General features: G+C 46.5%; 2 protein-coding genes and 1 long non-coding RNA gene across 21 annotated transcripts in view, besides 1 other annotated feature; 2 read left to right on the forward strand and 1 right to left on the reverse strand.

Annotated features, from left to right (window-relative positions):
* The window catches only part of SLC25A48 (solute carrier family 25 member 48), a 309466-nt gene extending 294019 nt beyond the window's left edge, over positions 1-15447 (forward strand). For 3 of the 19 annotated variants that reach the window (NM_001349345.2, XM_006714544.2, XM_017009091.2), the window contains 3 exons: positions 6778-6907; positions 7583-7720; positions 9872-10260. In NM_001349345.2, the coding sequence (NP_001336274.1) occupies positions 6778-6907; positions 7583-7720; positions 9872-9887 (284 nt within the window). In that variant the 3' untranslated portion in view covers positions 9888-10260. Of the gene's footprint in view, positions 1-830; positions 2972-6777; positions 6908-7415; positions 7721-9655; positions 10261-14841 lie in introns of those variants that run through there. The other 16 variants (NM_001349335.2, NM_001349336.2, XM_005271903.2 and 13 more) reach the window with 13 other exon arrangements.
* Positions 4368-4869: an enhancer, noted in NCBI's record as "H3K4me1 hESC enhancer chr5:135213247-135213748 (GRCh37/hg19 assembly coordinates)". NCBI's record gives its function as "activates a minimal SCP1, AML or CMV promoter by ChIP-STARR-seq in naive H9 embryonic stem cells {active_cell/tissue: H9 hESC(naive)}" and the evidence as "EXISTENCE:reporter gene assay evidence [ECO:0000049][PMID:30033119]".
* A 1818-nt stretch (positions 15448-17265) lies between the features above and the next one.
* On the forward strand, positions 17266-22958 carry LOC124901074 (uncharacterized). Its single transcript, XR_007058947.1, has 3 exons — positions 17266-17611; positions 19252-19413; positions 22508-22958. It is a non-coding gene; the product is annotated as an uncharacterized LOC124901074 (long non-coding RNA).
* On the reverse strand, positions 19056-22651 carry IL9 (interleukin 9). Its single transcript, NM_000590.2, has 5 exons — positions 22513-22651; positions 22365-22400; positions 22250-22282; positions 20830-20961; positions 19056-19320 (listed from the first exon to the last, which is right to left on the reverse strand). Exons 1-5 carry the CDS (start codon positions 22624-22626, stop codon positions 19201-19203), a joined length of 435 nt encoding a protein of 144 aa, NP_000581.1. The 5' UTR covers positions 22627-22651; the 3' UTR covers positions 19056-19200.
* Positions 22959-26344: the final 3386 nt, after the last annotated feature.

Here is a 26344-nt window from a genome sequence, read left to right on the forward strand (position 1 = left end):
CTGAGGGCCAAGGGCAGTCTAAGGTCTCTTTTGAGAGCTACTGCGCAGCAATTACAAAACCATGCAAACCAGTTGCCCTGGACTTTAACATCAATTTGTTTTTCTCTCCCCATCTAGGAATGTACCAATTTCTGTGTTTCTATAATAACCTGGCATTGTTTTCCTAGAGTTCCTTACCTGAGCATATCCCATGAGGATGACCTAGTGGCATGTGATCCCAAGGCTTCTATTCCACATACTTGAAAAAGAAAAGAGATTTTTCAAAAAGCTGTCCCTGCTCTCTTTTTGCAACCCCCAGGCTGGCCCTTCCTTTGTGAGCAGCCTGTCTGCCTGTGTTTGTTTAGCTTCTCTGTGTTTAGAGTAAATCCTGCCCTCAGTGAGCTGCAAACCTTCAGCCTCATGCCTCACCCTGGGCTCTCTTCTGGTGCCCTGGGAAGGTGCTCCCAAGTACCTGTGGAGCCTGTTACTCTTTCTCCAATAAAAACTGCTAATAAATACTGCCACGTCTCGAGCACTGGCTGTGGACTGGCACTTGCTCAATGCTTCACGTTCATCAATTCATTTGGTCCTCAAAACAGCCCCATAAAGATAGGTACTGCCATCCCATTTTACAGATGAGAAGCCCAAGGCTTAGAGAAGGGAGGAAACTTCTGCCAAGTCTCACAGCAAGTGGCGAGGGAGAATCAGAAACAAACTTTGCAGGTTCTAAGCCTGAGCTCTGTCCCTTCTCCCAGCTTAATGAATCTCTAAATGGTAGAAATCTGCAAGGAACCAGGCCCCTCCAGATCCTAAGGAGCTAGCCCCTGACACCTGTTTCTTTCTCTTTGCAGGAGCAATTTCTTGGGGGACAGCGACTCCTATGGATGTCGTGAAAAGTCGACTCCAAGCTGATGGGGTTTATTTAAACAAATATAAAGGTGTCCTGGACTGTATCTCCCAGAGTTACCAGAAGGAAGGTCTTAAAGTAAGCCCACAGCAGGCCTGCGGGGTCAGTGTCAGTCCCTGGAAGGTGGTTCACACATTTAGGGGGATGTGGGACTATAGAGAAGGGAATCAGGAGACCAGGGGGCTGCTGGTGATTATGTATCAGGTGCCACAAGTGGGTGCTTTGTCAAGCACTTCACCTGGGTGGTCTTTTCACATGGCCAGTGGAGGAGATAGGTATGTGACCTGACAGAGGTTCAGAGAGGGCTGGTAACCTGCCGCAGCCACACAGCTGGTCCATGGTGGCGCCTGGGCCTGGTCCATTTCTGTCTGTCTCCGCATTTTGCCTTCTCATCAAGATAGGTTGGGCAGCCCTTCCTCACTCATGGCTCAGTGCCTTCCCCACTCCTCCTCCCAGTGGGAAGTGCCAGAGCTGCCTTGCCTCCTTCCTGTCCTCAGTCAGCTCATCTCACCAGCTCCAGGCCCTGTGAACTGCCTTCTGCTCTCCCACCTGAGCCCTGACCCCAGACCTCTGGTCGTGGCTGAGGAGGCAGCCTCCAACACGTTTCCCTGGGCTGTGTCTCCTCTGTTCTTCCTACAGCTCAAGAGCTTAACTTAACACACACCCCTTCCCACCACCTGAAAAGGTGCTGCCCCAGGATAGACCAGACTTCCATGTCTGGTGTCCAAGGTAATACACAGATTCATCACCCTCCGCAGGAACTATCCTGCTGGCTCTTGCTTGCACGGGCTCCTTGCTTTCTTGGTGTGGCTCTTAGAGTCAGCAGACATGGGTTCAAAGTCAGATGTAGCTACTGTGAGCTGGCAGGATCCAAGCAAGCAGCTTCATGTCTCAGGGCCTCAGTTTCTCCCAGAATGATCATCCCTTCCATGAAGGGCGGGGCATTTGTGGGTTAATACAAAAAGCACTCCATTCAATATGTAACCCATAGGGAAGAGTTAACCATTTCTCATTTGCATTAGTATTATCAGTGTTGATTTTTTTAGCACCGGTATTACCCTGGAGCTCTGAGTCTTTTCTCACATGGCTGCCCCACCCCAGGCCCTGCCAGATGAATCTGCCCCATCCTTCCAGGCCCAGTGCAGTCCGCTGCCATTCCCAGGATCCATGTCCTTGGCTTGCTTCTCCTGTACCTCTCTCAAGGGGCTTCTCACACACCACCACGGGCAACAGCTATTTCTATACTGCCCCTTCTCTGCCTCTTACAGCAAGTTTTCTGACGTCCTGTTTTACTCTCTCCCCCAACTTGGGAAAGATCCAGAGTTGGATGACCCAGTGTTGAGGTAAATAACTAACATGCCACATGAGAGGGACAAGATCCAAAAGCTAGATCAAAGGGCCACACTAAAAGACAGAACTACCAGAAGTCACTGTAAAGTCCAGCCCTTAGTATTCAATCATGGATCAATCATCTCTGTAGAGGATGGGGCAATCCGATTTGATGAAGGCTTCTAGGGAAAAATGCCTAAGGGCTTTAGTTTTCAAATGCTTATTTTTAGAGCACCTAGTATGTGGTAGGCACAGTTCTAGGAGCTGGGGACAGAGCAGTAAGCAAAAGAGAAAAAGCCCATTCTCTGATCAGCTAATGTTGGCAGTGAGCGAACAGTGAGACCTGTCCTAAGGTTGCATTAATAGAAGTACAGTGGGTAGAATAAGGGAGGTGGAGGCCTCTGCCCTGACCAGATTGCAGCTGGAATGTTGCATCCACCTTTGGTCACTACCCATTAAGCAAGACCCTAGTGGTGCCCTGGGAATGAAGAGCAGGATATCATAGCATGTGAGGAGAAGCTGGACCCTGGTTAGTATAAGAAGATGTGATACGGAGGAAACTTGAGTTCTGTCTTTATGTTTTAAGGATGGAGAAACTCAAAGCTTTCCTATTCTCATTATTTTAAATTCCTTTTTTAAATTTTTAACAAGAGCTGCTCTGACAGAAGGGTGAAGCCCAGCCCTGGTGCGGCCTCAATTGTCTTTTGTATCTTTTTTTTCTTCTTCTTTTTTTTTTTTTTTTTTTTTTTTTTTTTTAGCAGAAATACAGTTTGTGATTCAGCCAATGAGTATAGAGGGATATAAAAGTGTTTCAAGTGGATGATTCATTTTTATTTGAGATGTTTTTGTCTACTTCCCCAAATATTAATGTGTCATAATTCGTAAAAAGTCTGTAGAGGCAAAATATATTGCTGATATTATTTCCTCTGAAAATTACTGTGCTCTTTTAAAAAAATGAAGTCCTGGAAGTCAGCTGAGGTCAGACGATTGGTTTCTTAATCTCGATAGCGTTTGGTCCTCACTGTTGGTTCAGAGACAGGTTTTAAGTCAAGATAATAATACTCAGCTTGAGTAACCACTGCATGATCAGACGGTTCAAGGTTAATTGTTTAAAATTTGTATTAATCAGTCAAAAATTGGTAATGTATGAACATAGGAAGCTTCCAAAACTACATGAGGATATACTATCTCGATGCCCTGCCTGTGGTCCCTGTCCTCGCTCAAAGGCAATTACCGTAAAGTTTCTTGTGATACATTTCAAAAACATTTACAGTGTATAAAAGAATATATGTGTATGTACATATCTATGTATGCTTGTATATGTGACTGTTTACTTATGAACATAAATAGTAACATAAACAAAAATAATCACACCATCTAAAACAATCAGGTTGTCTCAAAGGCAGTTTTCTGGCAGCCGCAGCAGGAGAAGGTAGAGAGGATTCCTCCAGTGCCCCAGGGGTGGCTCCAGTTCCCAGTTGGCTTGGGCTCTGGCTGAATGGAGCACCCCTCCCCAAGCATTCTTGACTGTGGCTCGCAGAGATAGAGTGCAAGGCCCAAAGCCCATCATCATTCCAATCTGTTCTCACCTTGCTATGGAGGAAGAAGTTTGTGACAGGAAAGAGTTAGAAAGGCATTAATAATGACGATGGTGACCAATTTGAGTAGCTCTTTGTAACCAACTTAGGAATGATCAGTGGTGCAGCCTTTGTGGTGGGGAAAATCAAAAGTCCATGGACTTGTCGAGGCATCCCCAAGTAGAAACAGAAGGAAAGTCTGGTAGTTTTGGAGCCATTCTCTGCCCACTGTTAGGGTCGTCTTGGGCTACATGGACCATAGCTCTGACTTGGAGAGTTGCCATCTGAAATAACCAGGCTGGTGAGCACCTTGGTAATCTTGGCTCCAAGGAAGCAGCTGCTGTGGAGGGGCTGTGGCAGTGAGATGAGGCTGAATGGCAGACAGAGGGGGCATTTGTAGGTAGACAGCTTCTGGAGGCACCAGGGCCAGCTGCCCTGGGTTGCTGTCCCTGGGGAATCTGGAGCCTTCCTGTCACTCCAGGAAACCTGAACTGCAGGCACCAGGACTCTTTCAGTTCAGACGCTCTTCCTTTGTCACGTCCAAAATTCATTTATTCATTCATTCATTTACTCATCCATCCATCCATTCACTGATTCAATTAATGTGTTTATGGAAGGTCTACTCTGGGCGAAGCGCTCGCAGGTGCTGGGGTCTCAGAGGCAAACCATCCACACAGCCCTGCATTCACTGCCCTGATTGTGATTGCTAATCCCACCCCCACCTCTGTTATCTGTCCTTCCTGACAGATAAGTCAGTGACACTTGGAGAACAGTGTGAGGAGTGCTGTGATGGGGAGATACCAAGTGCACAGAAGGTGAGGGGCCATCATCCACCTGGGGGTGGCCATGGGGACACTGCCAGGCTGCAAGCCAGGCCTGGGAAGCACTCCAGGCAGAGGGGACCAGAAGAGGCCCAGTGGAGGAAAAAGGCTGGCCCCTTAAGGGAATGACAGGCTGTTAACCTTCCCAGAGTGTCAGCTGTGAGAGGCCGTCCAGAGAAAGTGCAAGGGAGAGCATGTGGGTCGTTGCAAGCCAGGAAAGAGTGACCCTAGGCCATAGGGAGACATTGAGGCTTTGTAGGGTGGGAGTGAGGGGGGACTCGGTCTGGAGGTCATATGCTCTGAAAGCTCTGGGTAAAAGCTGGCAGGTCTGCATTTTGTTTGCCTTCTGTGGGCTCTGCAGCAGAGCAGGCCACAGCTGCTGGAGGGTGAGCTGTCTGCTGGTCTGAAGTGGCCCACAGCTCCTGCAGGGCCCGGGGCTGTGGGACAGAAGGCTCACACTCCAAGCTGGGCCCTGGCTGCCTCCGCCTTGCAGAGCAGAGCCAAGCCCAGACCCACAGGGGAACCTCTGTGGGCACCGGCATGGAATTTTCCTCTCAGAGTTTGACCCAGTTCCTGGCTGTTATTCAGTCACTCTGGATGAGCCTGTGGAATTCCAGAAAGGTTAGACATTAGAGAAGAGTGTTAATATTACCAGGATCTCACTTACACCCTGACTGAACAGCTCGAGGGCTTGGCTGAGCCACTTGTTCATCTCTAGGGATCCTTGTCCATCAGCCCCTTTCCCAGGGACATGTTGCACCCTGGAGGCTGCTGTGAGGTGCTGGCACCTCTCCTGAAGGAAGGCCACCTGATATCCTAGCCAGTGACAGAGGCCTGCACCAACTCTGATACCACAGTGCCCAGAGACTGAGGAAACTGGGGAAATGAAAAGGGTTGGTTTCTACCTTTACAAAATGACCACTTCTGTTTCTTAAACTTAGAAAATTATACAGGAATCAGAGTAGGTTTCTATCTGTGCCTGACAGTTCTCAAGTCATTTACGTTTGTGTGGGAACTTGCTTTTAGGTGGTCGTTTCTTACCAGAGGATGCATTAAAGGCCAGCTCCTCCCCACAATCCCCCTCTCCAAAGCTTTTATCTGCTCTCATCATTTTCTGGGTCATGTTGTCATTGTTCCTGAAGGGGCCTTGTCTCTGCTAATGGGTTATAACTGCTTGAGAGTTGGAATCCCATCACATTTATGAGCCGACACACAACACCAAGCAAGAAGATTGAGGGAGGAAAGGAAGATCATAGGCAGTGTTTGGGAAGCATCACATAATACTCCCTAGGGATGGAAGACAAATACAGGTGTCATGGAGTAGCAAAGGCGGAGTTCATCAGCTCATCAGCACAGGCCATTCTTCCTGAGCATGCATCCTAGTGATGGAGGTTGAGTCCTACTCCCTATTAGGTGATAGACTATTGATAAGAACAAGGAGGGTGATGATGATAATCAGCAGTTAATACATGCTTGTACTGTATGCCAGGCACCGTGCAAGTGCCTGAAAAGCCTCATCTCATTTAGTCCCTCCAACATTCTTATCAGGTCAATTCTATTATTACCCGCCCCTTACAGTCGGGAAAATTGAGTTCTAGAGAGTTTGCCATTGGCCCAAGTGACTCAATGGCAAAGCCGTGCCTCAACCCCATGTCTGCAGAGTCTTAAGCACAGCTCGAGTTCTGTTCTCTGCCACTTTTGGGATGTCCTGTGAAGCCCCTGCTACAGGGATTGGGCATGGCTGGGTGCTCTGTCTACTCAGGGCTTCTAGATTCCCGAGGAGAGAGAGAGAGAGAGAGAGAGAGAGAGTGTGTGTGTGTGTGTGTGTGTGTGTGTGTGTACATGTGAGAGAAGAAGAAAGAGAGGGAGAGAGAGGGCAATTTAAAAAGCATATGTAGGTGTTTGCCTGGCCCAACAGCTTACCTATAGTATTTAGTGCATGTGTATCAGGGTCTGGGAGGAAAAGCACCACCAGGCATGACGCGGGTCAGGGCAGGGCATGACTGGGACTTCCCTGTGTGGTCTCTGCCTGCACAGGTCCTTTGGGCTCTGGTGGGGGACCGGGCCTGGGTAGGCAGCACCACTAGCTATTCTCTGCCCCTCCTTGGTGGCCCTGCAGAGAGTGTGGGTCAGTCCCCTGCAATAACCTGGCCCCTGTGCAAAGGTGTTTTTCAGAGGCATCACTGTGAACGCGGTGCGGGGCTTCCCCATGAGTGCGGCCATGTTCCTTGGGTACGAGCTGTCGCTGCAGGCTATCCGCGGGGACCACGCAGTGACGAGCCCATAAGCGCCAGGTCAGTGTGCTTCCATCCTGGCCAATTGTGCCTCCCAGGAACTTGAAACTTTTTTTTTTTTTTATCATGAGAATGTTGTGGCCTTCTGAAATGTCCTGTTGTTTGTCACATATCTAATCTGTGGTAGGCTGGGGCTGCCACCCTTTTCGTCACCAAACAGCAGTTCAGAAATGCCCACCAGTGACTGGTGGTGTGCTGGGTCCCCAGGGACCAAGTCTGGCACAGAATATACCTGTTTCCAGACAGCTCGCCTCTCCGTTTCCCCTTCCAGCAGCTTCAACAGCCCTTTCAGAGAAGTACTTTTACCTTCACTGTGCAGATGCAAGTGACCCAGGCTCACAAGTGAGGACTGCAACCAGGGTACCTGCAGGGGGCACCGTCTCCCCACCTCCCTACTGAACTGCACAGCCTGACTCTGAGAGCCACCCACAGGCTGCCAGAGCCCTAGAGGACAGGTCTCTGCCACCATTCTTTGCCTCCCATACCCTCTTTTTCTTTCTCATTGCAGAAAGATCACTGTAGCCTGAGGACTCTTCTAAAGACAGCAGTCTGACTCCTGTGCTCACATGCCCTCCTTGGCTCCCCATTGCCCTCTAGATAAAGCCTTCACCCTGCTTCCGCCAGCCTCACTCCTCACCACTGTTCTGAATGTCCCGCCGTCTCTCTCACCCCTAGGTCTTTGCTCAGGCTGTCCCCTCTGCCTGACATCCTCTTCTCGCTCCTTTCCTACTTGTCCTTGGCTTCACCAGCTCTTTGCCATCCAGGCTGTAGAAGTCTCCTCCTCCAGGATGCCGGCTTGCTTTCTCAGCTAGGGTGAGTCGCGCCTTCTGCAGACCATCCCCCACCCCCACCCACACTGCATCCTAAATGCCAGAGGACACCCTCACTCCCCAGGTGGGGCTGCTGCGCTGTCCCTACCTTTGCACTAATGGTGCCTGGCACAGAGCCCAGCACACAAAGGGCCACTCAGCAGTGTCATCGGATGGGTGGATGACCAACCCCCATATGCCCTCAGGCCTCCTCTTCCTCCCTGTGTTTTTTCTTCCTCATTGTCTGGCCCCATACCGGCTACCTGCAAAGCTCAGAAGACAAAGTAAGTGTGGACTGAACTTTCTAGTCAACCAAGAAGCCATTTGACATCAGTCTTGGTTAGCACAAATTCTCCTGGGAAGGATGATCTTTGTCTATAAAACCTCACTGCTGCCTCCCCCGTGAGCTGGCAGGGGCATTCTCGGGACGGCAGAGCCCTGCCAGGGTGCACGGGTGGTGCCAGAACCTGGACAAAGGGAGGGGGCCTGACCAATCAGGCAGACTGTAGTCAGCCCAGGACAAGCCCCAGAAGCTGGCTTCAAATAAAATGCTCTCCACTTTTTGCTAAAGTGGCAACATTCACAGCTTCTCTGGCTATTTGCCCTTTCTTATAAAAGGAAAAGGGTAGCAACACAGTTTACATAATTAAACATCTTGAGTGAAGAATTACTGCATTTGGGTGGCATCCAGGATAGGGAAGGAATTCATCTTATTCTTAAAGCTGTGCTCAGATATTGGCCATTTCCCCCTTTTAACAGAGAAAAGTAATTTCTTAAAAATCCTATAACAAAAGCCAGGCATTTTTATTGTAGACAAAAATAGAAAATTTAAATAAACAGAAAGAACAAAATAATAAGACCTGTCATCACAAGACCTTGTTGTTATTCTTCCAAGTATGTCTTATGTGTATTTTCAAATTGGGATCCTATTCTACACAGTGTTTTACAGCCCTCTTTTCCCATTTAGTAGTTTGGGACCATTTTCCCATGTCATGAAATCTTCAGCTACAAGATGGTTTTAATGCCAAGACCTCCCAGATCCCAGAGTGGCTGGATGCCTGCCCAACCTGTCGTACCTGCCACTGTGACCACCCTGGTGATTAACTGCTTCAGGACAAAGGAGGAAATTTCTAGCTACCCAATCACGATTGTCCTGCATTTAGCCTTTCACAAGCAGTGACCAACCCAATTGGAAGCTTTTCTTTCTGGAAGCGCTCTTTCTTGCAAGGGGCATAGATGTCTGTCTCCCTTAGGAGGGAGGACTGCTAAGGCAGGGAGGAGGCTATTGCCTCCTGGTGGGAGAGGGAGGTTCCCAGCCACTGGTCTGCAGATTCATCTTAAACAAGTCTTGCCCATGGCATTCAACTTCCTGCTCTAACCCCCAAATACCAAGGCCTTTTAACAAGACTGGATTTTAATTTACCAAGTAGCTCTGAGATTTGGGGAAGCCCATGCTCAGGCAGCAGTCACACCTACTCTTTGAATGCCTCCCTCATTGTCTAGACCCAGGACAGAGTGAGATGATGTATATTAGAGATCTAGGGTGCCAAGCTGTCCCTAAGAAGTGGCGGGATGGGGACCATCTCGAGAGTTCCTGAGTACAGATGACAGGGATGACTTGAGAATTGTTTCTAAGAGCCTGCAGGGGATAGATCACCCAGCTCCCAGCAGTTGCCAGGTGCCTTCCAACAACCAGGCATGGAGATATCCCCCAGCTTTTCCAAGTTCCATGCGGGAAGATCAGTGACCTTTGGTGGTAGAAGTGGCATCCCGACCACTTACCAGTGGCTGGCTCTCAGACTTGTCTGTGGCTCATGAATCCAACTCTGCCATCCCTACCTGTCCAAGACCAGCCCCCAGAGCTCCCTGGAATAGTGCTGGTCTGCCCTCGGTCCTGACATGCATGCTGCAGGTCTCACTAGCCTACTTTCGGTTTCAGGAAAACTGATTTTCAAGGAAAGAAGACATAGTGCTCTTATGATACCTTTGCTGAACATTTTCAAATAGCCCCGGCAACCCTGAGAGCCTCTGCCAGTCTGTACTTTGCCTCTTACTGCTTCACAAACCCAGTCTCCAAATGGGTTGTTTGACCCCAAGATCCAAGATTTCAAGACTCCCGTTAGAAGATGTTCTTGTCTTTCCTCCTTTTTCCCAGGGTCTCATCCCATTAACAGGTCAATGCTAAAAGTGTCTGCAGAACCCATGATGTGAATTTACTGAAGAGAAAGACTCTCCACCAGGTGGGCTTTCAGCCAGGCAGGCTGTCCTCAGAACCTCTTCCTTCCTTCACAATTACAAGCATTCTCATCCCCACCCCGGCTGGGGCAGCGGAGCTTCTGCCTTGGAGGGATTCAACTGACCATTGGTCAACTGATCACCAACTATTCCAGCTTTGGACCTGCACCTGGTAACAAACAAACGAACAGAACAAAACAAAACTGGAGTAAAATAGACCCTCCCCCCATGGCCATTGTAAACTCACTGTGAATTCATGGAAGAGCTGGAGTTGGCTCTAAGTTTCAAAATAAAAGCATTAAAAACCTCTTCACATTGTTTCTCTGTCAGATGCCTCTGCCTAGCTTCCAAGAGGCACCTGGCCACTGTCATTCCTCTCTCTCTGTTCAGGCCTCTGTGGGTGTTGCAGGCCCAGAGGGAAAACCCCTCCACACAGGTGAGGAGAGAAACTGAGCCGGGGCAGCCTGGCTTCTTTTTTCCCAGATGCCTAAGGTCGGCAGCAGAGGGCGTAGTGGTTGAACAGGGTGATGAGGGACAGAAACCTTCTAGGGGTTCTCCCACCCTGAGCAGTGGCACACGTTGGTGACTTGCTTCAGAGAGTTTGGCCCTGGGCTTGGTTGGGGTGGGCACTCTCTGGGCCTTATTTTTACATGGAGAACAAAACAAAACAAAACACTTGATCCACAGTCTGGCTTCCAGAGTGACTTCATTGTTCTAAATTTTATTCCTTACTAGAGCCGCGTGGGGAGGCCATTGCTATTTTGCTGTTATGTGGCTTGTGTCCCTGCAGCCTCTTCCAATTCTGTGCCCACAACAAGCATTCCTAGTCAATCATAGAGCCCTTTCTTGATGAGCTGAGTGGCGCCTCAGAGTCTTTCTCAGCACAGTGCCGTGGCAGCCACCACCAGCCGTGCAGAACTGTCATACAAAATGAATCTATTTGCCATCCCTGGCTTAAATCCCAGTGAAGGAAATGTCCTCAAATTTGTTCTTTTTTCTTTCTCTTGAAAAGGTCTTCCTTGGTTTCTCCACTACGCTGTTCCCCAACCACCCCCTGCCTTTGAGTGATTTGGGCCATGTCTCTGAAAAATCTCTGTCTTAATAGACCGAAGACCAAAGCAATTCTATGGTGCAAAAGAGTTGAAAGTGTTCCGTCTCTTCGGTGTGAAACCTGTTACTGGAGCGGAGGGTTCCATGCTTGAAATAAAACCCTCAGCATGCCCTCCTCAATATTTCTCCTTCACAGCCCCTGGGACTGCAGGGTCCCCTGGGTATCTCTGCAAGTTACTGTTCAAGCTGCCCACCCTCCAGCAGTGGGACATTCATTCATTTGTTCAGTCATCAAACATTTGCTGAGCAGATGCTGACCTAGGTGGTGGGGACAGCCATGAGGGACTCCAGTGGCATGTCATTCTGGTGCATTGGAGAGGCTCTATTGATGGGAGAGACCAGCCTGCCTGTCTGCCCCAGTATCACTGGGTCTGGGTGGGCACGGAGGATGCGAGTGAAGAGATGCTTCTGGCACCTGGTTCATCCCTGGGTAGACCTGAAGTCTCTGCTCTAACACATCCTAGAATGTGTTTCTTAAGTCTGCCTCAACTGGACCATTTCCCGGTGCGAGGCATGCTTGCACAGTTTGTTTAGAAGTGGTGCTGTGTCCACAAGGCCAACTGGGGTCTTCTACTGGGTGCTCCTGATGAGGCTGAGATGCAACAACCACCTTCTTCAGGTGTCTGAGCTTTTCCTAGTTTCTATTAATCATCATGGCACCTCTTGATGGTAGAAGGAGGCATGCAGAGAGAAGCATTGCTGATCCAGTTCACAGATGAAGGAACTGAGGCTCCAACATACCTGAGCCCCAGCTCAGGACTTTACCACCAATCCCATTTGATAATCTTCCTGAGGCTACACTTCCCTGCTGTCCAGCCCAGGGTACATCGCCAGCAGCCATGATGATGGCTATTTTACGGTGTAAAAAAGACAAAGTTGTTGGGACACATAAGTATGGCGTCTGAAACTGCTATTGAAGGCCTCCCATCAACCACATCAGAACTGCCCTTCTGGACCCACCTCCCATTGCTCTGGTCCAGGTTCCCTGTGCTCTCATCATTTCCCCCATCCCATCCAGTGCCAGGCATACAATGGGCATTTAAATGTTGCTGAAAGGGTTCCCAAGTGATCCCACAAGCCTGCTGGGCCAGCTGCTGTGTGCCCAACACCCTCCAGGCTTCCCTGCCTCTATGCTTTTCTTTAACCTACAGGACACTCTTACCCCCAGCATCACCAGGAACAGGAATGCTCCCTGTTTTCGACCCAGCTCAGATGCTTTAAGCCCTTAGATGTTAGGGCTTCCTTGCTTCTCTCTCTCTCTCCCCTCCAGCAGCATCCATGGTCCTTCCACCAACGTGACCCCTCTGGCACTGTGTCCCTCCCTGTGCTACAGTCATGTCTGTGCACCCTCTCTTTCTCACTGGCCTGTGCCCCCCTTCAGAGCCAGGGCTGAGTCTTCCCAATCCTTAGATTCAGCATAGCAGCAAGAATGAACAGGGTTTAGAATAAAGGAAGCATAAATTAATGGGCAAAAATGCAAGCATGACCATGTTAATTGAGAATTGTTTGTAATAATGAAAATTCAGAAAGTTTCTAAATGCCTATCAATAGAAGAGGGGGTTGAACAAACAGCCACTAAAAAGAATGAGATAGATCTCACATATATTGTCATGGAAATATGTCAGCAACATTGTAAGTGCAGAAATGGAGGGGCAGAATAACATATATGATGTTATTCATTTTCATTTTAAAATATATATCGTATATGGGTAATTATATGGGCATTGAAAAACCCTTGAAGGATACACACCAAATTTAATAGTGGCTATTTCTGGGATGTGGGATTGGGAGAAGGCTTTCAGTTCCGAATTTGATGTTGGTGATTTCTTTGTACATCACTATAATGATGGTGATTTGATGATGGTGATTATTGTAATGTTTTAATTTTTTTACAGCACACATATATTGTTTTTATAATTTCTTAAAATAAAAGCACACCTTATTGCAGAGCTAGGGCTCCCTGCTGGATACTTGTTTTCCAGGCTGCGGGCTGGCTCTTCCTCGCTGCCCAGCCTCAGCCCAGCTCTGAGTAACAGCCCCTGCCACACCCCCTCCCCCCGCCCTCCTCCATGCTGGGCAGACAATGCCTCAGCACATCTTCTGCACCTTCACTCCCACTCAGGAGCACCTGGGCTGCAATGAATGAAACTCGGCTTTATTGAAGAAACTCAGCTCCAGCCCAAACAAATCTCATGAGGTAGCCAGATCTGGGAGGGGTCAGCCAGCAATGGATCTGCTTCCTCTTAGATTTTTCTGGAGAGGGCAATCTTGTGGAATAGTTGGGCCAACAGCTTGTGAGTCTTCCTCCATCAACACATTATGGTTCTATTTAACCAAATATATATATATATATATATATATATATATATATATATATATATATATAAAATATATATATGTGTGTGTGTGTGTGTGTGTGTGTGAGAGAGAGAGAGAGAGAGAGAGAGAGAGTGTGTGTGTGTGTGTGTAGTCTGACTGTGGCCAGTGCTGTTACAGGCATTGGGTGACAATGGCAGGGACCCTGCCCTCAGGGAGCTTAGTATCAGGCATTAATTTCTGTTGTCATGGTCAGGAAAGTCTTTAAACAAATGGAATCCTATTTTTAAGAAGGATGAAAACAAAACAGAATTCCAAGCCAAGCACCAGTTTTGGTGTCTGTGCCTTGGAGTTGGGGGGCTTCAGGGTTGGCCAATTTGCCTTACCAGGAAAGATGAAAAGAAGAACAAAAATCATTACCATACAGCAGCAGTCCTCAACAGCAGCCCCTTTCACTCCTGAAAATTATTAAGGACCTCGAAGAACAACTGCTTATATATTTACCAACAATTACTGGAAATTCAAACAGAATTTCAAAAATATTTATCCATTTAGGTATAATAATAAACCCATGACATTTTAACATAAATAACATTCTATGAAAATAACGATTCTTTCTAAACCAATATAATTAACGAGAAGACTTGCGTTTTCCGTTTTTGCGGCGAAGTCTGGCTTAAACAGAGGGCAATTGTGTTCCTCTGTCTGCTTTTGCTTTTAGTCTATGGGTTATCACTTGCATTATAGCCTTTGGGAAACTCCACCGTATGCTTGTGAGAACATAAGATTGAAAAGAGCAGATAACATCTTAGTGTTCTATGAAAGTGGTTTTGACCTCGTGGGTCCTCTTTGAGAACTGCTGCCCTACAGGGGAAAAAATACATATGTGTGTGTGTGTGTGTGTACATATACACACACACACATATATATGTGTGTATATACATATCCCTCGCCCAAAGGCTGATACCCTGCAGAACCACCACTTGGTGGCAGTAGAGGTCAACTAAACCCTCCGCAGGAATCCGCGTCTGGGAGTGCACGATCTTGGCCCTGTGGTGAGAACACCTGGGCCCCGTGACACTTCTTTTCCTGTTTCCTGGGTCTCACCATCTCCCTTGGCGTTGCCCTTTTCCTTCTCTGTGGTGGCAAGAACTTCACATTAGGGAGGCCTTCCCCTTGGGTTCCAGTTTCACGCAGGCCATCAGCCACCTGTGCTCTTGCAGGCAGCAGTGCCCCCTGTGCTCTTGCAGGCAGCAGTGCCCCCTGAGCCATCTGTAAAATGGCCACACTGGTCTCCCTTACCTACTTTGCACAGCTTCCACAAGAATCAAGTGCAAAAGTGTTTTTGTAAACTGTAAAGTGCAAAACATAGGGGTTAGAGGAAGGGGTGGCCTGGTGTGATTTTTCTGGTTTCTGTTCTTTGCCTGCCTTCTTCTCTGAGTCTGGGTTGTTTGCTGTTTCCAGGAGGTGAACACAGGATGACTACAGTGTTCCCTGGGCCTCATCTCTGCATGTGAAGCCCTGAGAGCTGCAGATGTTTGGCCTTTGGACCTCCAAGTGGACATCAATTAGCAAGCGTGGGCTAGGATGGTGCAGACACTGACGTGGCCCTTCTGATGCCTGGGATGCCTCATGAGTCACTGATTCAAGCCCTCCAAGGTTCTGATCCCCAATGCCCACTCTGCTAGGCTGGCATCAAAGAGCTTTCCAAGAAATGTTTGGTCCAGCTGAGAAGTCCTGACCATGAGCACCAGGGAGCCAGAAACCACCCAGAGAAACGTTGCTTCACTCCTCTGTCTGAGGATGGGGAGGGGCCAGTGAGCTCTGGGCTCAGCCACTCCCTCCAGTCTCAAGTAACACGTCCCCGTGCCTCCAGTCTCCTCTCAGCACCGACCAGGTTTTTCCCCGCTCCTGCACCCGTGGATCCTGAGGACAGCGGTAGCGCCTTCCTCACCGCACGCTGAGTCCAGTGCGTGCTCCTCACTGTGCACTTATTAGTGTCTGTTGAGTGATTAAATCACATCCTCAGGTCTGCAGCAAATAAATGAAAGTTTCTTTATTTTTTATTAACTAAATTGAGATTTTTTTCAAGCTGATGACAGAAAAAAATAATTTTGCCATTTCAGGGTAAAACTTCGAAATTCCAAGTTAAATGCCCAGTTCAAGATTTTTTCCTTCTCCACCTTCCCCTGGGGTTGACTTTAGATCTGGGAGGTTTGGGATTTAGGGAGAGGCTTCAGGGTCCTGGGAGGTGCTCTGTCCTACCCTGGTGTTCTTCCTGGCTAGTCCTGGGCATGGCTTTCCCTCCAGGGTGGCTTCTGTATAAGCATCTTCAGTCCCATTTGGTCCCTGTCCCGTGGTCCGAGCCTGACATATGTGCCCATCCCAAGGCCTCTCCAGCCTTACCATCCTCCAAGACACATCAGTGCCCCTCTCTGCCCTGTGTGAAAATCTTTGGTTTCTCCGTTGAAACTATTCAGGGGGCTGCATCAAGCCCAGCTTCCTAGGGCCAGTGGGTGGTCCTCCCTATACCACACCTTAGGTGTGGTGGCAAGAGGCATTCTCTTTTCGTGTCATCTCCCAGGCCATTCAGGGGATACAGCTCATGTGCCCTTCACTCTTGGTTTTCTACCCTCCCCAGGAGTTCTGCCCTCTACCCCGAGGCTCTGCTGGGGGCCAGGCAGAGAGCTCTTCTCCAGGGAACTCAATAGTGTCTGCCATCATCCTCTCCTCTCGGACTTCTCTTCCATAGTCCAAGGAGTTACTTTCTATCCCAGGGCTAGGAAGGTTACCACTGGAAACTCTAAAGCCAAGAATTAACTTCTGTATCAATAACCTCTATACCAATAAGTGCAGAAAATACATCAGACACAGTCCAATCTCATTCATGATAAAAGTGCTCAACAGACTGAGAATAAAAGGGAATTTTCTCAGCCTGATACTGAGCATTTATGAAAAGTCCACAGCTCACATCATATTAATATTTAATCGTGAATGACTGGATCCTTTCCCACTAAAATCAGGAACAAAACAAGAATGTGTACTCTCACCACTTCTATTCAACATTGTATTGGAAGTTCTAGCCAGAAATTAGCCAAGGAAGTGAAAGAAAAGGCATCCAAGTTGGAAAAAAAGAAGTCAGTTACCTCTATTTACAGATAATATGACACAGTTTAAAAAGTGAGGGTTGTGCAACCTGCCAATGTACTAAAATATATTGAATTATACGCTTCAAATGGATGAATTGTATTGCATGTGGTATATGAAGCGTATCTCAATGAAGCCATCTGTTTGCTGTTGTTGTTGTTGCTGCTGTTGTTGTTGTTTGTTTTTTTTTAAGACAGGATCTTGCTCTGTTGCCCAGGCTGGAGTGTAGCGGTGCAATCATGGCTTACTGCACCCTCGACCTCCTAGGCTCAAGTGATCCTCCCATCTCAGACTCCGAGTAGCTGGGACTACAGTTGCATGTCACCATACCCAGCTAAGTTTTGTATTTTTCATAGAGACTGGGTTTCACCATATTGACCAGGCTGATCTCAAATTCCTGGGCTCAAGTGATCAGCCTGCGTCAGCCTCCCAAAGTGCTGGGATTTTAGGCATGAGCCACTGTGCCTAGCTAAAGCCATGTTTTTAAAGTGATAAAAATAAAGAATGAAGACCTTTAGGTCCTCTTTGAGTTTCTGCTGAGGCCTTCCTTTGCAGAGAAAGGGAGGTCTTGGTCTGGGGTCAATGAAGCAGAGTGACAATGTGACAATGGGAGGAGAGGAATTGTGAGGTTTGAACATCACAGCATCTTCCTGCTTCAAACTGGGTGGATGTAAAGAGGGAGGGATGGATGGATAGATGGGCAAGCTAGCTTTATGGCTGGCCACATCTTGGCCTGCAGTGTGTGCTTTGATCTGGAATCTGCTGGAAACAACTCTGCCTGGGGCCTGGCAACCTGGAGAGGGTAGCAACTTCACTGCTTGTGAGCAACGTGCTTCTGGCCAAGTTATGCAACCTCGTTGGGCCTACTTATCTCATTTGTGCAGTGGGAAAAATTACATACAACAATTATATAAATATCTCATGGGGTTGTTGTGAGGATCCAACCAGATATTCTACAAAATAGGCTTAGAGGACTGCCTGGTACAGAGTAAACAATAAATATTAGTTCTCCTTTCTCCAGGGTGGCTTCTTGATGAATCTCAACTCTCCTGGCACAGAGAAGATGGTAATTATAGCACACTTTACTGTAAGTGAACCCTCCTTGGAGCTTGCCTGCAGGAATGAACACTGCAGGTTATGTGACTTTTGCAGAAAAGCCTAGGGAAAGCACCAAGCTATGCTGGTGATTAATCTGCATCAGTGAGTGGAAGCTCGTCTCTGCCCGTCTCCTCTGGCAAGACATTGCATTTCCGAGTTATATTCTGAAACCATCACCAACCATCAGTATCTGTCCCTGCTGGGATCCTGCTTGGGCTGGTGTCTCCCCATGCCACAGGTGGTAAACCACATAGTGTCACATGATTCAACTATGTCTGGCGCCAGTCATTCAGAAAACCCACATGGAGGAGAGGAGAAGAGAAGGCCCTTCAGCTGTGATCTGGAACTCCATGTGGCTGGCTGTCCAGGAAGCTACAGAAACCTTTATCCCTCCTGGAGACACCCAGCCCAGCCCCACATAAAATGTCTTCGTAAGAGTGCCCCCCACCCCCACCTCCCTTGTTAAATAGGGCATGAGCTAGAGAAAGGCTGTTTTGTTAATGCAGCTTACTAATTTCTTATCATTATTCTGAAATCCAAACAGCTGCGAAAACTCAAGATTTGTTAGGACTCATTTGGCTGCAAAACCTGACCATTTCAGTGACTGTTGCAGAATTGATATGTTTAATTATGGAAACTTGCCCCAGGCCCTGCTGTGGGTGTTATGTAATATATGGCACGTGGATTGTTTTAACTTTCTAAAAGGCTAAAAAGCTTGAATTCTGAAACCTGACTCCCTAGGTTTCTGGATATGAGAGTGTGGACTGGAATTATGATGGGTCTATTTTACCCTCAGGCTGTGGTTGGAAGAAGCACAATGCACACCCTTGGTATAAAGAGAATAAGAAAGGGGCAGAATGCAAACAGCAAAGGGTTTGGAAGCAGAGAGCACGAGGGGTGAATCCTTCTTCTAAATCTCACCACCTGTGGGATCTTGGGAATGCCATGCAGACTTTCTAAGCTTTGGTTTCAGTATATATAAAACAGAAATGCATAATAATAATATCTACTTCCTACCATAACTAGTGGGTTAAGCACTTAATTATTAAGCATTTATTCTGCATGCCCACATTCTTGAGCAGTCTCCCACTTCCAAGCTGCTGCCTTCTCCTCTTTCAGGCACAAGGCCAGTTTCTCAGGACCCTAGCCCTCTTAGCAGTGTCAGACATGCCTTCAGCCTCCCCTAGTGGCAACCCTCAGATGGTCCTCATAGACATTCTTTGTAACTGCTCCCTGCAGCCCTCCTGCAGCTCCAGCCACAGCCTATGAGCCTGAGGGTCTGTATTCAGCATCAGGAGTCTTATCACAGAGACTCCTACAGGAGTCTCTGATCTATTCTTCCCCTTAACAACACTTGTAGCTTTCTTTGTTCTGAGCAGCAAGAAATGAATAATTGCCAAGAGACCAGCTCATGTTGTTTTTTCCACATATGTATTTATTTCAAAATAAAGACATACAATGTTAAACAAATAATCACAACTGATACTGATTTAGAGTAGCTTACTTGATTTTTAAATTGTAGCAACTTAAAGAGAAAGCTTTTTAAATTTAATAAATAGGATAAATAATATTTCATCTTCATATCTTGCCTCTCATCCCTCTCATCTTTTCTTTCTGGAAAATTTCCAGAAGACTCTTCAGAAATGTCAGCGCGTTGCCTGCCGTGGTTTGGTTGCATGGCTGTTCACAGGAAAAATACTGTGGGGATGAAAGTTGATAAGGACAGAGTGACTCAAATGATGTAGAGCCAAGCAGCCCCAGAAGCCTACCTGCCAAGAGCCAGAGTCGGTGGTGAGGATTGTGGGGATGGGAAGGGAAGTGGCTTGAGACACAGAGCAAATAGGTGGGCAGGTCCAGGCTAGCTCATGTGGTGTAAAGACAGCATAGGTGGTTGACCTCAAATTGGATTTCAGGGGTCTTTACACACACACACACACACACACACACACACACACACACACACACACCCCTATTAAGTGGCCCTAAATCTCTGCATTAGAGAAAGCCTTTTCTGGGGACTCTTTGAGGCCTAAAATTGTATCATTATCCTTTTAGGTTGTCTTTCCAAGGTCATTTGACAGTACAATGGCTAAGAGTGGGGCTCTGAGGTCATATAGGCCTGAGTTCAAATCTCAGCTCTGCCACTTATCAAATATGCAGCCTTAGGCAAATTAGTTAACCTCACTGAGAGTAATAAATTGAATAATTGTCCCTAAGGTATGTATTTATTCAGTGAGACAGCATATATTAAGCACTTAGAACTAGATGCCATTGATGGTAGAAACGCATGCAGCTAAACAGCTGAGCTCAGGGCTTTCAGCCTTCTAGGATCTTGTGTGGAGATGCTAATACCCAAAAAACAGAGGGAGGTCACCTCTACCCAACTTGCCATCCCAGTCTGCTGTCAGGGACTAGGGTATATGCTGAAGAAAAGAATGTGTGGATGGGCATTCAGGATGAGTAGCAAGCTTCCACCTTGACCTGGGTGCATTGCCCTTTAAATACCTCCTTAATGCAGGCCAGGCATGGTGGCTCACACCTGTCATCCCAGCACTTTGGGAGGTCAAGGCGGGCAAATCACTTGAGTTCAGGAGTTGGAGAGCAACCTGGCCAACATGGTGAAACCCCATCTCTATTAAAAATACAAAAATTAGCCAGGCATGGTGGCACGCACCTGTAATGCCAGCTACTCGGGAGGCTGAGGCAGGATAATCACTTGAACCCGGGAGGCAGAGGCTGCAGTGAGCTCAGATGGCACCACTGCACTCCAGCCTGGGCAACAGAGCAAGACTCTGTCTCCAAAACAAAACAAAACCTCCTTAACCAACAGGAAAAAAAAATCCCTGTTAACAACATCCATTCAGTTAGTACATTGAATCTCTAGGATAATTTAGTATTATGTGAGCTACATCCCTGATTCTCTAGATTGTAGCTTCTAATTACACTCAGAAAGGATTCTTTCATTATTCCATAGTAGAGAGAAGTAAATGGCCTCGTCAGGAACAATGATCTATCTCACTTTAATTCTATTGTTTCAGTGGATCTCACTTTAATTATATTACTTCTGATTAAAATTCTTAGATGTCTTTTATCAACCTTGAACTACCAATTCCAACTTTATCATCCTTTTGTGTTCAAACAGGGTTGGCATCACCATTCACATAGAAATCACCAACAGGAACATATCACATATGAAAACAAACTTACTGGACACTTGTTGTTCTTTAGTACTTCAACTGATTTTTTCACCCGACTGAAAATCAGTGGGTATCTTGTTTGCATGGTGGTATTGGTCATCTGAGACAGTCTCTCACTGAAGCATGGTCTGGTGCAGTTGTCCTGGTAAATAGTAAGGATTTATTCAAAGAAATATTCTGAGGACAGCTTTGGAAATATATCACAAAGAGCAATATAATAGAGATGATTTTTATTTAATCACCATTACTCAAACTTGCATTATTTTTAGACAGGTCCCTTGCCAATGTAGGAAGTGATCTCCCGTATTTAAAGGGGATGCCATTTTTCCACAGTGACATCCCCTGGAGGAGACTTCCTGTATGTTACATCCAGGAAACATGAGGGCTCTGGGCCCTGAAATAGTCGGCTCTGAATGTTCTTTTCAACGGGTGCTTCCCGGCTTCAAGGCTTGTAAGTCTGAAAGTGCAGAGTGAGGAAAAGCCTTTTCACACCAGCTAATGGGATGTGACAATTGAATGCAGCTGGTATTTCAGCAGCAGCTAAAAACATGGACGGTACTCCAAGGGACAGGGGCTGTGCTGTCTGCCTGGTTCCTGCCCAGAAGGCACTCTATCCTCTTCTCATCTAATGGATGGACCGCGATGGGTGCGATGTCTTACCCTAGCCAGGGCAAGAAGCTCAGATTCTTCAGATTCTCCCAGGCCTTGCATGAGAAAGAATAAAGCACTGCACCTTGGAGAAGTGCCTCCTCCTCACCCTAACCAGGAGTTTGAATTAGGAATCAGAACTTTCCTGCCACCCATCCTTCCTGCCGTAGTGGGCAGTGGCCCTCTGGAAGCCCTCCTTCCACTCACAACCTCAGATCCTCTACCTGCCCAGAGGGCAGCATTCAAACCAACAGTCACTCTAATCAGCTAGACAGACAACAGGGTGGTGGGGAGGAAGGGAGGAGGCAGGGAGGGGGAGGTATAGCGCATAGATCATTCATGACAGATGAAAGATAAGGAGTTGTCATTTTATTTACATTGTTTCACAACTCTAGAGTTATCAGTAAATGAGTTAGAAAGCAATATGATATGAGCTACAGCAATTATTATATCCTTAGTTCCAGTTTTATTTAATTGTGCACATGGCCACCTATCTAAAAAGATATTCAGGATTCTTTTTTTAATGTTGAAAAGTGTTCAAACTTCTCAAGAGGCATAAAGTTAATTAAATACAAAGAAATGTTCATAATATAGGATTTCAAGATCGTAGTTTTAAAAGGGAATAATTTGTAACAATGTGGTTTTAACAGGGAATACTAATCTGTAACAATTAAATTAAGCAACAATGTATAACATTAAATATTAAATAAAGCAACTTATTTTTACTTAAAAACAAACCAAAAAAATCCAAGGTCAACATTATGTTATTTCACTATACTTACAGAGGGAATGCCCAAACAGAGACAACTGGTCACCTGCAAGGGAAATTTCAGAGTGAAGATTCCAGATGTGAAAATTAAAATTAATTTGGAAAGTTCTTAAAGAGCATTCACTCACATTAGCACTGCAGTGGCACTTGGAAGCTGGATCTTCCTAAAGTAGATAGAGAGATAAGAACCTTTAGTCAGCCCCGAGTTTTTTCATCCTCATACATATTTCACTTTGTCAGTAGCTGTCTTTCCCATGGGCTCCCCCTGCAGCCTACCTGCATCTTGTTGATGAGGAAGTTGATGTCCAGGATCCCCGCCAAGGTTGGACACCCCTGGCCTGCCACGGAGCACAGGAGCAGGGCAGAGGTAAGGACCATGGCCAGAAGCATCTTGACAGCGGACTGGAGCTCGCTTGCAGACACCTTCAAATCGAGTGGTATTTAAAGCTCCCTCTCAAACACGGAAAAACCCTGACATCAAACTGATACCAAGAGCCCACTTTTTCTCTGTAAGTTGGGGCCACTTTATACTAACAAACAAAAAAATCAAACTGAGTCACTTGACAGAGATGATGCTGTGCCAGGAAATATCATTCCTCAGAAAAGATGATTTTCAAAAAGTTGAGTACTGAAATGCTGAAGGAAAAGTTAAAGATCTAAAAACCAAGAAAAAAAATTCAAAGACAGGGATTCTGGTTGTGAGAGTTAGAATACTTTCCATGAACGCCCAGGTCTGTATTTTCCCTTTTTACATTATGGGAAATGCTGATATAATATAGCCAGTCATGGGTGTTCTAACGAAGGGGGGCCTGGGGAGACAGAGCGGGTTGGGGGAGGGTGCATGATATTGCAGAACTTCACTTATCTCTGTTGGGGTTTTCCTTTAGTAATTGCAACCTCAGTCTTACTATGCTTTATTCCCAAATCTCAATGTTTTTCATACCCAGGATGAAGTTTGCCACCTAATGCAAATGCATCTTAGAAGTATCCCTTTGTGCAAGTGTCTGAAAGAAGAAATGTTCAACTATAAGCACAAGAATGCGGCAACCATGCTTGTTAAAATTGGCCTTGAGGACTCCTCAGTATCTTTGGAGATCTTATATAACACTGTATGACATCAAGTAAAAACCCAGCACTTGAAAGAGTATAGTAGCTAACATTTACTGAGAACTTACTACATACTAGTAACATTTCTTTTTTTTTTTTTTTTTTTTTTGAGACAGAGTCTCCCTCTGTCACCAGGCTGGAGTGCGGTGGCACAATCCAGGTTCGCTGCAACCTCTGCCTCCCGGGTTCAAGCGATTCTCCTGCCTCAGCCTCCCGAGTAGCTAGAATTACAGGCACCCTCCACCACGCCCGGCTAATTTTTTGTATTTTTAGTAGAGACGAGGTTTCACTATGTTGGCCAGGCTGGTCTTGAACTCCTGACCTCGTGATCCGCCCGCCTTGGCCTCCCAAAGTTCTGGGATTACAGGCATGAGCCACTGGGCCTGACCATACTAGCAACATTTCTAAGTACTTTACATGCATTAAGCCATGTAATACACTCGGCTGCCAAATGAGGTGGGGAGTAATTTGTCATCACCATTTTTTACCCTTTAAAACACTGTCTACATCTTAGCTTCCTGGCCCTTCAGTATGGCTGTGTTTAATCACTATGAGTCAAAAAAGCAATCTCAGTGTAACTCTATGAAGTACTATAATTATTCTTATTATCTTACAGATGGAGAAACTGAGGCATAGAGAGGCAGGTAATTTGCCCAAAACCACAAAGCCAGGAAGCCGCAGAATTTGTATTCAAGCCCAGAAGTCTGCCTCCTGATTTCAGCTCTTAATCCTCCTGAACTCCTGTTTTTCTGCAGATCTTTTATCTGCCTCTCCCACCAGGATATATACTCCAGGGCTTTATGGGTCCAGTTCACCCCTATATTCTCAGCACTTAAGGAGGTGCCTGGGGAACTGTGGGCACTCACTAAATGCTTGTTGAATTAAAACACTAATTTGAAAAGTAGTTCTTGAAATACGAACTTCCTACTTCTGGGATTTATAAGATTTCAAATCTGATTTCTAGGATACATATTTGGAGGTATGTGCAGGTAAGTAAATATAGCTTCTACACAGTAGATTGAAAAGGTGAGGGGTTCTTTAGCTTAGCACTCTGAACTATAATAGCCAGTGGGGACAAACTCATAAGATTTCCTCGCCTCCACTGTAAGAGTATGGCAATACTGTTTTTTTTCATTTTGTATTGTTTCTTAGGAGTGATGATGGCTCGTCAGTGTTCCACTGCACTATGGGGAAGGGAGTGTCTTGGTGGTAAACAAGGTAAAGAGAAACAGGTGTTTTGCTAAATTCCCTTAAGCCATCCCACATCTCTGACTTCCATCCCTGCTCTTTGCAGACACTGAAGAGAAAACTCAAAGGATTCCCAGCCTGTGGCAAACACTTTTGTTACAAAGCACTGGATGTATGCCTTTTTCTTGATGGTAGAATTCTGATTAGTTTGGGGTACCAATGTATCCAGCCAAACACCCACATTTTCAGCCTCTTTTGCTGCTACATGTAGCCATGCAGCATGTTTCGATCAATGCAAAGTATGTAAAATTATTTTGCTTTCCTGGTAATAGGAGACAAAAGTGGCTGAACCCTGTCTTTCCCCTTAATTCCAATTTGGGTGTGATGGCAGGAGCTTCAGCAGCAATATTATAACTATGAAGAAATGGACAAGAGAATTACAGCAATGGCAACACTAACATTTTTCATAAATAGCAAATATTCAGAAAGGCAATAAAAAATAAAACCATGAGACTAACAAGAGAAGTAATAATAATAGTACAACAGTGATACTAAAATTCTAGCTAGCTATCACTGCCTACTGAGGATCCTGAGTTATAAAACCTGTTCTTGTTTAAAAAGAAAAGAAAAGAAAATTAGCATGCTTTGGAGAGATTTTAAAGATACATTACCATCAGACTAAACCTCCTTCCCTGACATTATTGGAAGACTTGAGAGAGATGTGAAAAGGCAATCATCTTTTCATTCTGTGAATCAATATTATCTGATGCTCTCTGTGTGAACCGTGGAAATCATTTCACCTGCCATCGGGTATGCCTTTCATATTGAGGAAAACACCACCCCACCCCTCCTGTTGTACAGATGGGGGCTTTGCCCAAGAAGAGAAAGCCACAGCTCTAGTTTCTAGCAGGGGATAGTACAGTGCAGTGGTTAAGACCGGTGACTCTAGAATCAGAATGCCTGAGTTCAAGTCCTGCCTCTATCACTTGCTAGCTCCATGGCCTTGGGGGATTGCTTGGCCTCTCCCAGCTTCCATTTCCTGACCGTAAGTGAGGATGGTGATGTGGAAAGTGGGAATGGGGATCTAGGGATGCAGTTGCAGTTGTCAGTTCTCACTCACTCGTAAGTGAGGATGGTGATGTGGAAAGTGGGAATGGGGATCTAGGGATGCAGTTGTCAGTGAAGGCTCCCCTCAGGGTACTCCCATAGAGATTAAAAGAAACAGCTGCTCCATCCCTAACTTGGTTTAAGTGGCATCCGGTTTGAAGTTTGTTAGGGCAAAGCAGCCGAGGTTAGCGGTCAACAAACTGTAATCCACTTTTCAGGTTGAAGGTAAGGTCTACAAGCTAAGAACAGTGTTTACCTTTTTAAGGGTTCAGAGGGTTAAAGTTTATAAAGAAATAATTAACAAATAAAAACAAGCATGTGTGATAGAGACCGTATGTAGCCCGTAAAGCCTAAACATTTATTATCTGGCCCCTTTACAGGAAAAGTTGGCCACCCCCTGGCTGAGTTCCCACACCCCACCCCACATTTTCTGAAGACATCAACTATTATCCTCCAGTCCTGGGAAGGGTAGAGCTAGGGGTTGGTTGCTCAGGTGTCTCTTCTCCCTTTCCCCATCTGGTTATTTAGGTCAGGTATCTGTACAGAGGGAAGGGAGCAGGGGACCTGGGCCACAGACTGCCAGATTATCCGAAGTGTTGGGGGCCTGCCATTTCCTGAGGCTTTTTGTGGAGTGAGCTCGCTGGTCCAATGAACCAAAGATCTTCTCTCAATGAAACCCGGTAGCTGCAGCAAAGATATCTCAGGC

This window comes from Homo sapiens, chromosome 5 (assembly GCF_000001405.40).
Source record: "Homo sapiens chromosome 5, GRCh38.p14 Primary Assembly".
Lineage (NCBI taxonomy): Eukaryota > Metazoa > Chordata > Mammalia > Primates > Hominidae > Homo > Homo sapiens.